Raw genomic sequence first — 13779 nt, 5'->3', positions numbered from 1 at the left:
AAGGGAGATGATAGTGACAGGACCAGAAGAGGAACTACTCAGATGCCATGGGTGGGAGTCCGATTAAGCAAGGAGGCCTGGGACGACTGTGGAGCCCACAGATCCCAGGAGCAAAACAAGCAGTCATTCAACTCCAGTCCCCCAAGGCAGACAGGTGAGCATCAAAGTGTGTGGGTTGCCTGGCGATGAAGCCCAAAGAAAGACACCTCCTTCCTCTGCAGCCATATGAGCTAAGGGAAGGATATGCCCGACCTTCTGCAGCTTTGGCAGAGGGGGCCTTGTCAGCTTCATATACCAGCTACCAAAGGAGTGATTCTAAAAACTGTTTTATGTTCATTACACTTCTTATTACAGCTCTTGTGCCAAAGATGCTTGGCAATGGAAAGCAGAGTGCTTGATTTGTGTAATAGATATTTTCACATGCAGCATACAGAAACACAAAAACAAAAGTGTCATAAAATGTTTGATCTGGTCTTTTTGTAGCAGCCATGGAAAACACAAAGGTTTCATTATCATGATGTTCCCCTGTAGGATCTGCAGAACACAACAGAACATGAGGGGAAGAGGGTGTTACTGCTGTGTAAAATTGGACTGAGGGAACACTGGAGCAGAAATGCAGACCTGAGCGCCCAGTGTGGGTGGCTCACCTTTCAAGCCCAATGGAAATCTAGCCTTTTCTTGGAAACTTTCCTAGCGAAATCTTAGAGGCACATGATGACTTTAGGGGTGTCTCTCCAGGCCACATCAGCCCTGAGGGGTAACCCAGTTTGTGCGGAACAATTCAATCACCTTTGGCCGCCTGGGTTCCCAGGTGCTCATTTCCTCGCACAGAAACCCCTCCTTACCATTGGAGGTAAATCTCCTTGTTGGGTTCCACCTGCCACATCCCAGCTACAACCTCAAGACCCAAGAAACCAGGGTTGAAATGCAAGGCACCAAGGCTGCTGCAGCCATCATCCAAACCCTCCACACAGGCCAGGGGCCGCTAGGCACTGGCCCAAGGCAGGGTGTAGCATCCAGACAAGAGGGGAATGGAATTTGCCAGATAATGGATGCCAGTGATTTGAGGAAGGCAACAGCCAAGGGAGAAATGGAAATGCAAACCAGGTACTGTCCAATGCAGCCGTCTACCTGAAAGGGCTCAGGAGAGGGAATCCATCTGGAGGCAAAGCAGTACAGTCAGGTAGAATTCCCTGAGCCTGAGAGCACAGCTCCAGTCTCTTTTTAAGAGGTGGAAGAGGAGGAAAGGTATCATGGCTTGGCTGGATGATCACTGTCCACTCAATGCTTACTGCTGTTATCACTTGCCCTAGAGAAGAGTTCTTGTTCTCTCCCTGCTGCTAATTACAACTCTTAATAGGTTTCCAAAATGCAGCTAATACACCCTCTGCTGAAAAATGTGGGGTGAGTTCCTAGGCATTTGCCAAGAATCTAGAGCTATTAGTGAGTAGCATTGCTACATCTCTTATCAGAGATATTCCTTTCACCTCACCACAATTCCTCATCCCTGGCCAATCCTCTTTGCTGACAAGGTTCCCAGATTGGGGCTGATGGAGTGAATGGAATGTCTTGCCTGGAATCAGGGGTCACAATAAAATAATAGAGCAGGTGAAGGGAGTGGGCTGAGGTCAGTGAGCCAAAGATGATCTAAATGGATGAAGTCAGGGAGATCATGTCAACAAACAGTGGTTTCAAGCTGGCACGCAGGAGGGTGGTCATGGCAGAAATCTGGAACATGGGCTGGAGCTGCGGCCCTGCCCAGTCTTTCTGCAGCAGGAGTCAAGACGGGGCTGCACTGATGGCCTTCCATAACTGGCCCAGCCCTGGGCCTCGGTGTGGGCTTTTCCAGACACCTCAGCTCTCCTATCTGGGCTGCTGAGGGCTTCTTCCCAGAGGTGAAGGCTTGCTCAAGGTCCCTCTTAGTTCAGGGAGTGAAAGCCTGGAGTTTGGGGGCCAACTGTCCGTCCTTCAAGTCCTCCTCACAATTTCTCTCCAAAGGCCTACAAAGTGTCTCATGCAAAACAGATTCTTCAGACCTGACCCCCTGTTCCTCAGTTCCTATGGTATTTTATGTCCCCTGCCCCACCCTAGACTTTTACTACCTTGCACATTTGGCCATTTTCTTAAATTACCAGCTATATTTTTGGTAATTATAGCCCATGTATCTTATCACGCCAATTACCTAGTGAGTGACTTTGGGTTTAAGTATGAGTGCTTAAAATGTTTCTGATCCTTTGCTAAGTGCTGTGTATAGACTATCCCATCTAATCTGCATAACAAATCTATGAGGAGATGTCATAACTTATTACCCTCATTCTTTTGAGAGGAACTAGGGACTAGAAATGTCAACAAACTTGCCCAGAGTTCTGGCTCGCTCTGTGAGTTGAGCAAGTTATAGCCACTGTGCGCCCCAGTCTCTTCATCTGTAAAATGGGGTGAATAACAGTGCCTACTTCATAAGACTGCCAGGAGAACTAGATGAACTAATGCATAAAGTGCTCAGGACAGCGCCGGGCCCATTGGTGTTTGTACCTGGTTTGCATTTCCATTTCTCCCTTGGCTGCTGTCTTCCTCAAATCATTGGCATCCATTATTGGGCAAATTCCATTCCCCACCTTGTCTGGATGCTCCACCCTGCCTTGGGCCAGTGACTGGGGCCAGTGACTGGTCTGTGTGGAGGGTTTGGATGATGGCTGCAGCAGCTTTGGTGCCTGGCATTTCAACCCTGGTTTCTTGGGTCTTGCGGTGGTGGCTGGGGTATGGCAGATAAATAAATGAACATCTAAGAGGCAGAGCTGGATGTAATCCAGGGGGTTTGATTTCAGAGCACAAGTTCCTACCTACTATCTGTGACTTCTTTCCTTGTTGACTGTGTCTTGTTCTGTTTCTTCTGAAAGCTTTGGCAGGGACTTTGATTTTCATTTTACAGATGGAAAACTGAGCTATCATAGACATGATCCAGCCAGGGCCACACACCTGTTTCTCTTCCTGAGAATTCCATGGTGATACTTCCTATATTCATATGGACCAGGCACCATTCTGAGCACTTTACACATATTAACTAACAGATCTCACATGCAGTTTTAGGCACAAAGTGCTGCTATTTATCCAATTTTGCAGATAAGGAAGCTGAAGCACAGAGTGGCCTGATTCTGTGATCATTCTTGTCCTCTGCCTGAGCCCTCCCTCAGAACTGGGGCCAACTAATTCTGCATGCAAGGCCTACAGCAGGTGCTCTAGGTTGGTAATCTAGGGACTGAGTACCAAGGTACTCGTTGTACCACGCTTTGCCCACCTTTTCTGCATTGGTCTGTGGCCAAGGCCTCAAATTGACCCCAGATTTCAATAAGTGTTTCGGCCTAACTTCCATGGGTACATCAGATCCTCCCAGTCTGGCTCACTGCCAGGTGACCAATCGCCATAGTTTGCCATGAGAATGTCCCAGTTTTGAAGCTGAAAGTCCTGTGTTGCAGAAAACCTCTAAGTCCTGCAGCTATTTTCTGACCCAGCAATGTTCTGCTCCTTAGTGGTTATTAATCCTTGCAACTTCCTATAGATTTCCAGAGGATAACCTCTCTTCTCCAAATGATCCCCCAAATCATTTCAATTTAGCAGCAGCTGCAACACATTTTAAACCACAAGAGTATAAGCAACATTATTAGGGATACTCTCTTTCCTGATGAAAGGGATCTCTTGGGTTTACTTTCCTAAAATCACACCAGAAGAACATAACTAGCCAAGTCAGCAGTTTCCTCTCTGCCCTTCACACATGACCCACTGGGCTGTTATTTAATTTTCCCGCCCTCCCTCTGCATTTTCGTTCTCCCCAAGCACTTCTAATGGTTTCCTTTCTGTCAAGGCAAGCAGCATAATGCAGAATAAAGAGATCTGGGCTTGGCATCTGGGAGACAGCTTCAGTAGAGGAAAGAGCATGGGCGCTGTGAGCAGAAAGATCTGGTGTGAATCTTGACTCTGACATGCCGTTTTATGTCCTTGTATAAGTTACTTAACCTCATTGCACATCGCCTGTAAAAGGATAACATGAGAAAGTCCGCAGTGGCGTACGTAAAGTGACTTGCACAGAGTGGGATGTGATAGACATTAGATGATTGATGAAACAGGCCTCAGTTCAAGATGGGAGCTCCTGACAGACTGGCAGGTTCCTGATCCTGATGGGGTAAATGTGTCCAGGGAGGTGCCGCTGGGCAGCTGTTACCTGCCTGATGTGGTCTCCTGACTGGATTCTATGCTTCTTACCTTTAATGTCACTTCCCTAGGGAAGCCTTATTATAAACTCACAGGCTACTGTACTCTTTCATAGTGCTTTTCATAAGTTGAATTCAAATTTTATTTCAGTAATTATTTTATTTCTATCTTCCCACCTGACCACAAACTCCCTAAAGGCAGGGACCATGATCTATCTTGTTCACTGTTGTAGCTTCAGCTGCCAAATCAGTGTCTGGCACACAGTAGGCATTCAATAAATGCTTGTTGAATAAAATGAATAAATTAAGTGGCCATTCAAAGGTACTGGAAGAGAGAATTCCGTAAGGAAGCGTAGGCAGTAACACACCACTAGATGGCGCTAATGCCATGCATGTAAACTATCCCACCAGCTTTCTCAAACCAGAGTGATGGGTGGCTAACAGTCAATTTCCAATTTGACTTGGAAGTGATTCCGCCGAGAGTGTAACATCTTGTACTGAGCACCATGCTAGGCAATTTAACAGTTATTACAATTCTTACAACAATCACAGAAAAAAGTAGCCCATTGTACAGATGATGAAATAAATTCCCAGTAATTTTAAGTAAATTTTCTAAAGAGACACAACTTGTAGGTGATGCAGTAAGGCTCTGAACCCAGATCTGTTGGCCCCCAAGCTGTGTTCTTTCCAGAATATCTCAGTGCTTCCACTTTAGTGGTCTAATGCAACCAATAAACAAGCTTCCTGGTGCGATAGGGCCCCCTGCCCACCCCCACAGTTGGTTATTTTATTACGTACCCAGTTAGAACTCTCCACACAGTCATTGATTTCTTAAAAGTCAACTTATAAGAAAGGGATAATAAAAGGCAGAATAGATTCAATGTCTCTTAAACCAGACTTTTACATCTTGAGCTCCATTGATGAGCGAAGTGTAGCATTCTGAGGAAGGAGGAAATAATCTTTAACGTATCAATCAATCATCGATAGGTCTTCATTCAGCACCTCTGTTGCACACACAGGGCTGAGCAAACACAGATGGGCTTACAATCTGGTTGGGGACAGAAGACATGCACATATGGGACATACCAATATACAACAGTACCTAAGTACCTTGTGGACGATATATACAATATGAGCACTAGGAATCCGGAGGCCAGAAAGATTCCTGTGACTGGGGTGGTCAGGGCTGACCCTCACAGAAAACACATTCAAGGAGACAGCAAGTTAACTAGTCCCTTTCTACTCAAGGTATAGACCAAGGACAAGCGGCATTGACACCACCCGACAGCTTGTTAGCAATGCAGAATCTTGGGTCTCTTCCCTGACCTCCTGAACCAGAATCTGCATTTTAACAAGATATCCAGGTGATCTGCAATGTTTAAAGACTGTTGAGGATCCAGTGTTTGTATTCATATCTCTTTAAAGTGAACGAACACTCTAATTTCACTGTTTAGTTTTAATTTGGCATTTTGTTTTGCTTTTAGAAGAATGTACTAAATACTCTTAAGCTTCTGCCATTCTTCACTCCAAGAATCTATGGAAAATCCTAATAGCTAAATCTTCTGTGGCCTGGTGATTTCTTAACTGGAAGAAAAGCTGTTATCCGAAGCACCTTTTCATGTATTTATGCAACAGGAATTATTGTTCAAGAAACTAGACTTTAAAAAACCAAAGATATATTTTTTTGAGTGACTAAAGGAAGTTTACGTTATGCTCACTACAATTCGGGTACAGTCTAATTCTTTGCAGATTGCTAATCTATGTATGCTAGACTATGGAACCACAATACTAGATCACGTTTCCTCAGGTCATTCCCCACCTCCCCACACTGTCCCCCCATACATCATTTTGAATCAGTGGAAGTTGTTGTCATGTGGAATTTGTAATAATTCTGATAGAGAAAATTAGACACTTCACACACCAGTACATGGACAGGACTTGTTTTAACATCTCAGTAAGAAGTGACAGTGGCCCTGTGTCTAACTGTGGTTCCATGTCTCTTATCCACTCGTGGAAGCTGGGTGCGTCCCTTCAGAAATTCAGTGTGGCAGAAAGAAAAGAGCACTAGAAAACTAAGCAAGAAAACATTCCTCTGGAGAACCCTGACTAACATAAAGCCCAATCCCCATCAGCACACAATATAACAAATATGCATATGGACCCTCTCAATCTAAAATGTTTAAAAATAACAATATATAACTAAACTGGCTTGCAAAAATCACTCATTGTGAAAAAAAGAAAACTAAGTGAGAAACCATAGGCTCAGGGCTGACACACGTTAGCTGTGTAGTGCCACTTCTCTGTGTCTCAGTTCCCATCTATGAATGAAGGAGGTGGAATGAGATGGTTGCTAATGTTGCTTCCTGGTCTAGCATCCCATGAGCCTAGTTAACTAGAAGTTAGAGGATGGGTAGTTATTCATTAAACCCAGAATACATAGTCCCAAACAGAAGGGGCCATATGATCCTTACTTCCAGATATAAAAGTTGAGAAGGCTGGTTACCATAGCAACTCACCTTCATGAAGTCATTTATAAATTCAATTTTGTAAAGTGACAATATTATGTACTGGCACCTGCAAAACTCCATAATGTTTCCTTTGCTTCCATTCTTGCCCCGGGCGATGGTGCCAAGAATTGTCATAATCTAGAGAAGCAATCAGAGTTCTCAAGCTGCCTTTCGGTCTGCTAGAACAGAAGGTGCTGACAGGGGTGGGAGTAAAGGAAGGCCTCCTTTCAGTTTACTAATTCTGCAGCCGCCCTTCACAAACTCCAGCAAATATTTTGCGATGTTGCAAGGTGTTACGAAAAGTGAAAAGCAAGCTGTGATTCAGCTGGTACGAAGACTTTGCAAACAAAAAAGAGTGATCTGTTTGCAGCAGACTATTACTTCTGCCAGAGCCCACAGACTGGAATACTAAAAGAGGAATTTCTGCAAGACATTGCCATCATACTTACTGGATTTTCAAAACAAAACCAATTTTAAATTGTTTGGCCTGGTAGGTTTCACCTTGTGAACCTCAGATTCCTGGGAGCTGTAGAGTCACTGCAAGGGATCTGCAAACCAGCGTGCATGTTCCGTCTGTAGAGTGAATGAAAAATATGCTCATCCATATGGATTACTTTTCAAATACACATAAATGTCATTGTGATGAATACAAGAAATTAATTTGCAATGTTAGTGAAGATACCTCAGCTCGTTATGAATTTTCGTAACTGATATTCAAAGTAGAGCCAATATCATGCTTGAGTTTAAGAAAACTCTTTTTCATGTTGAAAAGCAGTCTTCACACTTGTCAGATCACTTGTCTTGGTTCTTGGGGCAGAGGATATGGACACCTTACCATTAGGAGAGAAGCTTTCCCCCAGGATTGGCTCTGCTTTCACGGCATATGTTGGATAATATACCCACCATTTGGTTTCTAGAACCTTAACATTTGATAGGAAGACATTTAAGTGGCTCGTTGAGCCCTGTTCTTCCATGAGATACGTCATCCCTGAATATAAGTAAGATCTGAGCAGTGGACACAATTCTAGTCCAGACATTTATGTAAGAAATAGAAACTAATTTTGATTTCAAGCCTCCCTTTCTTTGCATTGTCAGAAACTTTATCTCAGTGAACTTGTGGATTTCAACCTCACCTTCCCCTGGAGTTGTATCTAGTTTCCGGGAGGGGGCTTCTGAGATGCAAGATGTGCAGAAAGGGAGGGGGGAAGGAGAGAGAGTGAAGGATGTGGTCCTCAAGATCATTCTTCCACACTGGTATTTATTGAGACATTCTTCACTCTTGTCTGTGTGACCCTTTCGGATTCAGGAGCACTCTCCATTTCTCTGATGTGCTCTTGGGCATGAAGAGACATGCTTCTTTCTCACTGGGGCATGGGAAACTTTGCACATCTGCCTACGTTCTCTTCAGTGGGGACCCATTATGCACCCATTTCTCCTCTGGGGCTTCACTGAGGATGCAAAGAACATGTCTTTTCTGCTCCCAAGTCTCACAAAAACATCTGCAATTGTGTCACCTTCCCAGGGTGAAGTAGCACACAGGATCCAGAAACATCTCTGCCCTCTGTACCTTCCCATGAATTCACTTCCTCCCCCTAAGAAACTCTTTTCTACTCTTGTTATCTTTTCTTCCAAATATTTTATCTATGCCACATTTGTTTGTTTTTTCCTTCCCATAAGGGCAACTTCTGAATCCAAAAGCCAGGAACATACTTTTATTTCTCTGCCTCTTATTATCACATCTCATCTCTGAGATAAGGAGTACAAACCAGGCTAGCTGTCCAAATGAGGGGAAGGAAAAACGAGGTAAGGAATTGGCTAATATTATTCTGCTGATTAATATAGATTTCACGAATCTAGGGCCTGCAAGAAAGGAGGTCAGCCCCAAATGAAACCAAACACTGAGCAAAAAGTGAATTTTTCTAGAATAATTAAAATAGGACCCCCAGCATTGGTGCAGTTTTTCTACTGGCTGTTGGTATTTTCTGCAGTCGGGCATCCAGAGCTAAGTGCCTGGACTTCGGGCACAGTGCTGAATTAAAAGGATCTTTTCTAAAGATTGGGTGAACAATTAAAGCTCCATCAGTCGTATATAGAGGTGCTTCACAGCCTGTCAGACTTGGGTTTTGGAAGAGGAGGGATGGGAAGGGAAGAAAGGGAAAGCAACCTAAGTTTCTAGCTCCACAGTCTCTGCCCCAGCCAGATCCGAAGTCCCTTCATTCACTCATTTATCCTTTCATTCAAAAACCATTGAATTTCTATAGTGGGCTATATACAGGGAACAAGGAACTCTGTATTTTAGTCCTGGCAAATTCATCTAAGACTCTCTTTGAAAAAAAAAAAAAAAGACATGGTTTCTGGATTTAAGGCTCTCACAGTGTAGTTGGAGGAAGAGCCCATGCGAAGATAGGCAAAGTAGCAATTTCAAAGTTATGATGAGGAAAATGCAGGTTGTAGGTGACTGTGAGGCAGGACACCTAGCCAGTCCTTGAGAACTCAGAGAAGGGTTCCTGGATAGGCCAGAAAGATAAGTGGAAACTTGACAGAGGGAGTACCAGGGCTCTGGGGAAAGAGCAACCTTGAACAGGCTAGGCCACAGGCTAGACTGCCTCTTAAGTAGAAGAGGGCCCCAGGAGCAGCTGGTCTGGCTCTGAACCAGCCTCAGATTTCCAGCAGCAGTGATGACTCTGCATTTCAAACTTGGTGATTATGAACACACATTTTTCGGATTCAAAGGAGTTAGCTGCTACATGCCTGGGCAAGAAGATTCCATTTCCCTGTTTCTCAACTTGTGCTGTGTGAATCAGGAGCCTGTAGGAGGAACACGGGGGTGGAGGGTCCTTCACAATGAAAAGCCTCAAACTCTCTTCCCCCTCACATCTTGAAGAGAGAGTGGCAGCTGCCTTCGAAGAGCCTATATTCCAGGCAAAGATGAGTTTGTTGGCAAAACCATGTAGGAGGCACCAGAGTGCTAAATTAGAGCTTTTGCAAGCAATATATTTTTATCATTAAACTCTTGGCTAAAGCTCATTTGTTCCAAATGGGCTGCCTTAGAAAGTATGCTCACCTGAGTATGGGGTGAGGGCTTTGAAAATACAAGTTTGTTCCAAAAGATGCACAAAGAAACAAAATTAACATTTATTTTATAAAAGAAGGATAGTGTGAAAAGGGATACAGCTCTTTGGCTCACTAAATCATGAGATTAGACTATATTTCTCCTGCCACGAAGAGTGGAAAATTAACATCCTGTTTGAGGAACCTCAATCACATAACCTAAAGGCCAACTCCATGTCATGGAGACAAATCAGAGAACCGAATTTGAAGGAAGGCCCAAACATTGCAGATCCCACAGGAAATGATTACATACTATTATTCTTGAGTGAATGTAGTAATATAATCCTTGAGTAAATAATCAGAACAGACTAAGTGTATTTGCGTTAAACTGTAAACAATCATCTAGATCAAATTACTTAATATTTTAATCCATGAATGTAGAATAATACGTGCTTTAGCTTATGCCAATAGGACAATCCTTAGAGATGTCTGAGTTACTTCTGGCCATGAATTTAATCCACAAAGTGATTAAGAAATTAAGAAACAATAAAATAGCCTGGGAAAACAATGTATCACTACTGTGCAGCCACTAAGCTTCTGCATCAACCCGAGGATTTTCCACACATGCTCATCATTCCAGAACTAACTAAAACAGGGGTCAGGAAACTTTTTCTTGAAGGGCCAAGCAGTAAATATTTTAGGATTTGCAACTCTGCCATTGTACACAAAAGCAGCCATACACACTATGTGAATAAATGGCTATGGCTATGTTCCAATAAAACTTTATGTGCATAAATATGCAACTGGCCTGTGGACCACAGTTTGCTGACCCTTGATCTTGAACAATTGCATAGGTGTAGAAAGATGGTCCTTTTGGAGAAATTATGAGTTCTTTAGAGCTCCATGGCAGACCAATTTCTGTGGGGCTATATGGTGAGGGTGCATTAGTCCACTGGCCTGCAAACTGCACCCCCCTTTTTTTTTTTTTTTGAGACAGAGTCTTGCTCTGTCTCCCAGGCTGGAGTGCAGTGGTGCAATCTCGGCTCACTGCAAGCTCTGCCTCCCGTGTTCACGCCATTCTCCTGCCTCAGCCTCCTGAGTAGCTGGGACTACAGGTGCCTGCCACCACACCCTGCTAATTTTTTTGTATTTTTAGTAGAGACGGGGTTTCACCGTATTACCCAGGATGGTCTCAATCTCCTGACCTCATGATCCACCCACCTTGCCCTCCCAGAGTGCTGGGATTACAGGTGTGAGCCACAGCGCCCAGCCCCTTTCTTTATAAATATTATATAAGGAAGCCTTTATAAAGACTGATGGGTGCTGTCAAAGAGGCCAGATGACTCAGCAGGCAGCAGACTTGATGTGGGATTCAGGGAGAATTGTTAGTTTGAGGTATAAACCACAGGAATAACCACAGTAAGCCAATCCCATAGTCTTTTCACACTTTCACCTGGACTGTGGCTTTGTGAGGTAACATGGGGATTCTGTACCTGATACCAATTTCAAAAGTTAAGGTTGTACACCAAAAAGTTCCAGTTTCCTTTCTAACTAAGCAAATGTTTCATTTGGGGCTGGGTAGGTACATTTTCCTGCCATATGCATGGTCCCTGCTGAATAAACATTGCTTTGTAAGCCCCCCACCCCACCACTCCCCACAACCTATCCCCTGCCATAGTTGGCCACTCAGTTATGTGTAACTTGCACTCTGTCTTGAAAAGTGGAGCTGGGCCCTAGTTCTCTTTCAGTCATCTGAACTGAAAGCAAGAGGGAAAATGCAGGCAGAGACACAGCCAGAAGGGTCATGTGGCCTCAAGGCCTGGAATAGCCTCTAGGGGGCCTTGTACAAGATGTGTTCAATGAAAAAGCACAAGCAATATTATGAAAGTGTTTCCTGTTGCGGGAAGTCAGGGACCCCAAACGGAGGGACCAGCTGAAGCCACAGCAGAACATAAATTGTGAAGATTTCACGGACATCTATTAGTTCCCCAAATTAATACTTTTATAATTTCTTATGCCTGTCTTTACTGCAATCTCTGAACATAAACTGTGAAGATTTCATGGACATTTATCACTTCCCCAATCAATACTCTTATAATTTCCTATGCCTGTCTTTACTTTAATCTCTTAATCCCATCATCTTTGTAAGCTGAGGATGTATGTCGCCTCAGGACCCTGTGATGATTGCATTAACTGCACAAATTGTTTGTAAAACACATATGTTTGAATAATATGAAATCTGGGCATCCTAAAAAAGAACAGGATAACAGTGATTTTCAGGGAACAAGGGAGATAACCATAAGGTCTGACTGCCTGTGAGGCCAGGCAGAACAGAGTCATATTTCTCTTCCTGCAGAAAGCCAATAGGAGAAATATCACTGAATTCTTTTCCCAGCAAGGAATAACCCTGGGAAAGGAATGCATTCCCAGGGGGAGGTCTCTAAAATAGCCGCTCTGGGAGTGTCTGTCTTATGCAGTTGAAGATAAGGGATGAAATACACCCTGGTCTCCTGCAGTGCCCTCAGGCTTGCTAGGATTAGGAAATTCCAGCCTGGTGAATTCTAGTCAGACTGGTTGTCTGCTCTTGAACCCTGTTTCCTGTTAAGATGTTTATCAATGACAATGCGTGCCCAGCAGGACATGGAACCTCATCAGTAATTCTAATTTCGCCCTGTCCTTGTGATCTTGCTCTGCCATTTGCCTTGTGATCTTTTATTGCCTTTTGAAGCATGTGATCTCTGTGACACACTCCCTATTCGTACACTCTCTCCCCTTCTAAAACCCCTAATAAAAACTTGCTGGTTTTGTGGCTCAAGGTCACCATCACGGTCCTACCAATATGTGATGGCACTCCCGGAGGCCCAGCTGTAAAATTTCTCTCTTTGTACTCTTTCTCTTTATTTCTCACACTGGCTGACACTTAGGGAAAATAGAAAAGAACCTACACTGAAACACTGGGGGCTGGTTCCCCTGATAGTTTCCAGTTCTATAATCCAAGAAGGCCAGTTGTTCCTATTCAGGAATCCTTACATTCCAGAAAGATCACTCTGCGGATTTACAAAAGCTTCTCTTTCCCTTTTCTTGAGTTGCCTTGAGTGGGCCTCTCTAATGAATAACTGACTTTCCAATACGCACTCCAGAATCATGTGATGCTCTACTGGGCACAATTCTTGCCACATCTAACATTGGTTAGTTGCCACAGAAACAAGCCATGAAACATTTTATTTCATGTTTAGATTTGTCATCCAACACAAGCTTCCATAGGCTTGGCTGACATCTATTTAACTTCTATATTGGCTGGAGGTAACAAATCCAATAAAAATTTCCTTGTCAATGCCTTTAAAACAAACAAACAAACAAACAAACAAAGATTAGGTTTCACTATGTTGCCCAGGCTGGTCTTGAATTCTTGGGCTCAAGTGATCCTCCTACCTTGGCTTCCTAAAGTGCTGGAATTGCAGGCATGAGCCACCAGGCCTGGCTATCAATGACTTTTTCTTTTTCTTTCTTTTCCTTGAGACAGGGTCATGCACTGTCACCCAGGCTGGAGTGCAACGGTGCAATCATGGCTCACTGCAGCCTTAACCTCCTGTGCTCAAGCAATCCTCTCACCTCAGCCTCCTGGGTAGCTGGGACCACAGGAGCGTGCCACCATGCTGGGCTAATTTTTCAATTTTTTGTATAAATGGAGTCTCCCTATGTAGCCCAGGCTGGCCTCAAACTCCTGGGCTCAAGCAATCCTCCTGCATCAGCCTCCCAAAGTGCTGGGATTATAGGCCCAAAACACTCCGCCTGCCGTCCATGACTTTTTGATCTGTCCTTTCCATGCCCACCTCGTCCACTATGGCCTAGTACCTTATCACTCCTATCTGGATTTCACCCACAGTCTCCTATAAAATTGCTTTGACTCTACTCTCTCCCTATTCTTGTCCATCTGTTGTCAGAGCTATTAGATTAAACCTACTTTCATCAGATTATTTCTCAGATGAAAAGTCCAGCTGGGCACAGTGGCTCAC

General features: G+C 44.0%; 1 long non-coding RNA gene across 1 annotated transcript; it reads right to left on the bottom strand.

The window, feature by feature from the left end:
* Positions 1 to 310: 310 nt before the first annotated feature.
* Positions 311 to 13231, bottom strand: LOC105374584 (uncharacterized). The gene is made up of 2 exons (XR_940058.3): positions 13196 to 13231; positions 311 to 7285 (listed from the first exon to the last, which is right to left on the bottom strand). It is a non-coding gene; the product is annotated as an uncharacterized LOC105374584 (long non-coding RNA).
* Positions 13232 to 13779: the final 548 nt, after the last annotated feature.

This window comes from Homo sapiens, chromosome 2 (genome assembly GCF_000001405.40).
Source record: "Homo sapiens chromosome 2, GRCh38.p14 Primary Assembly".
Classification (NCBI taxonomy): Eukaryota; Metazoa; Chordata; class Mammalia; order Primates; family Hominidae; genus Homo; species Homo sapiens.
Note: the sequence above shows the minus strand (reverse complement) of the source record. Positions and strands in the feature narration are given on the sequence as shown.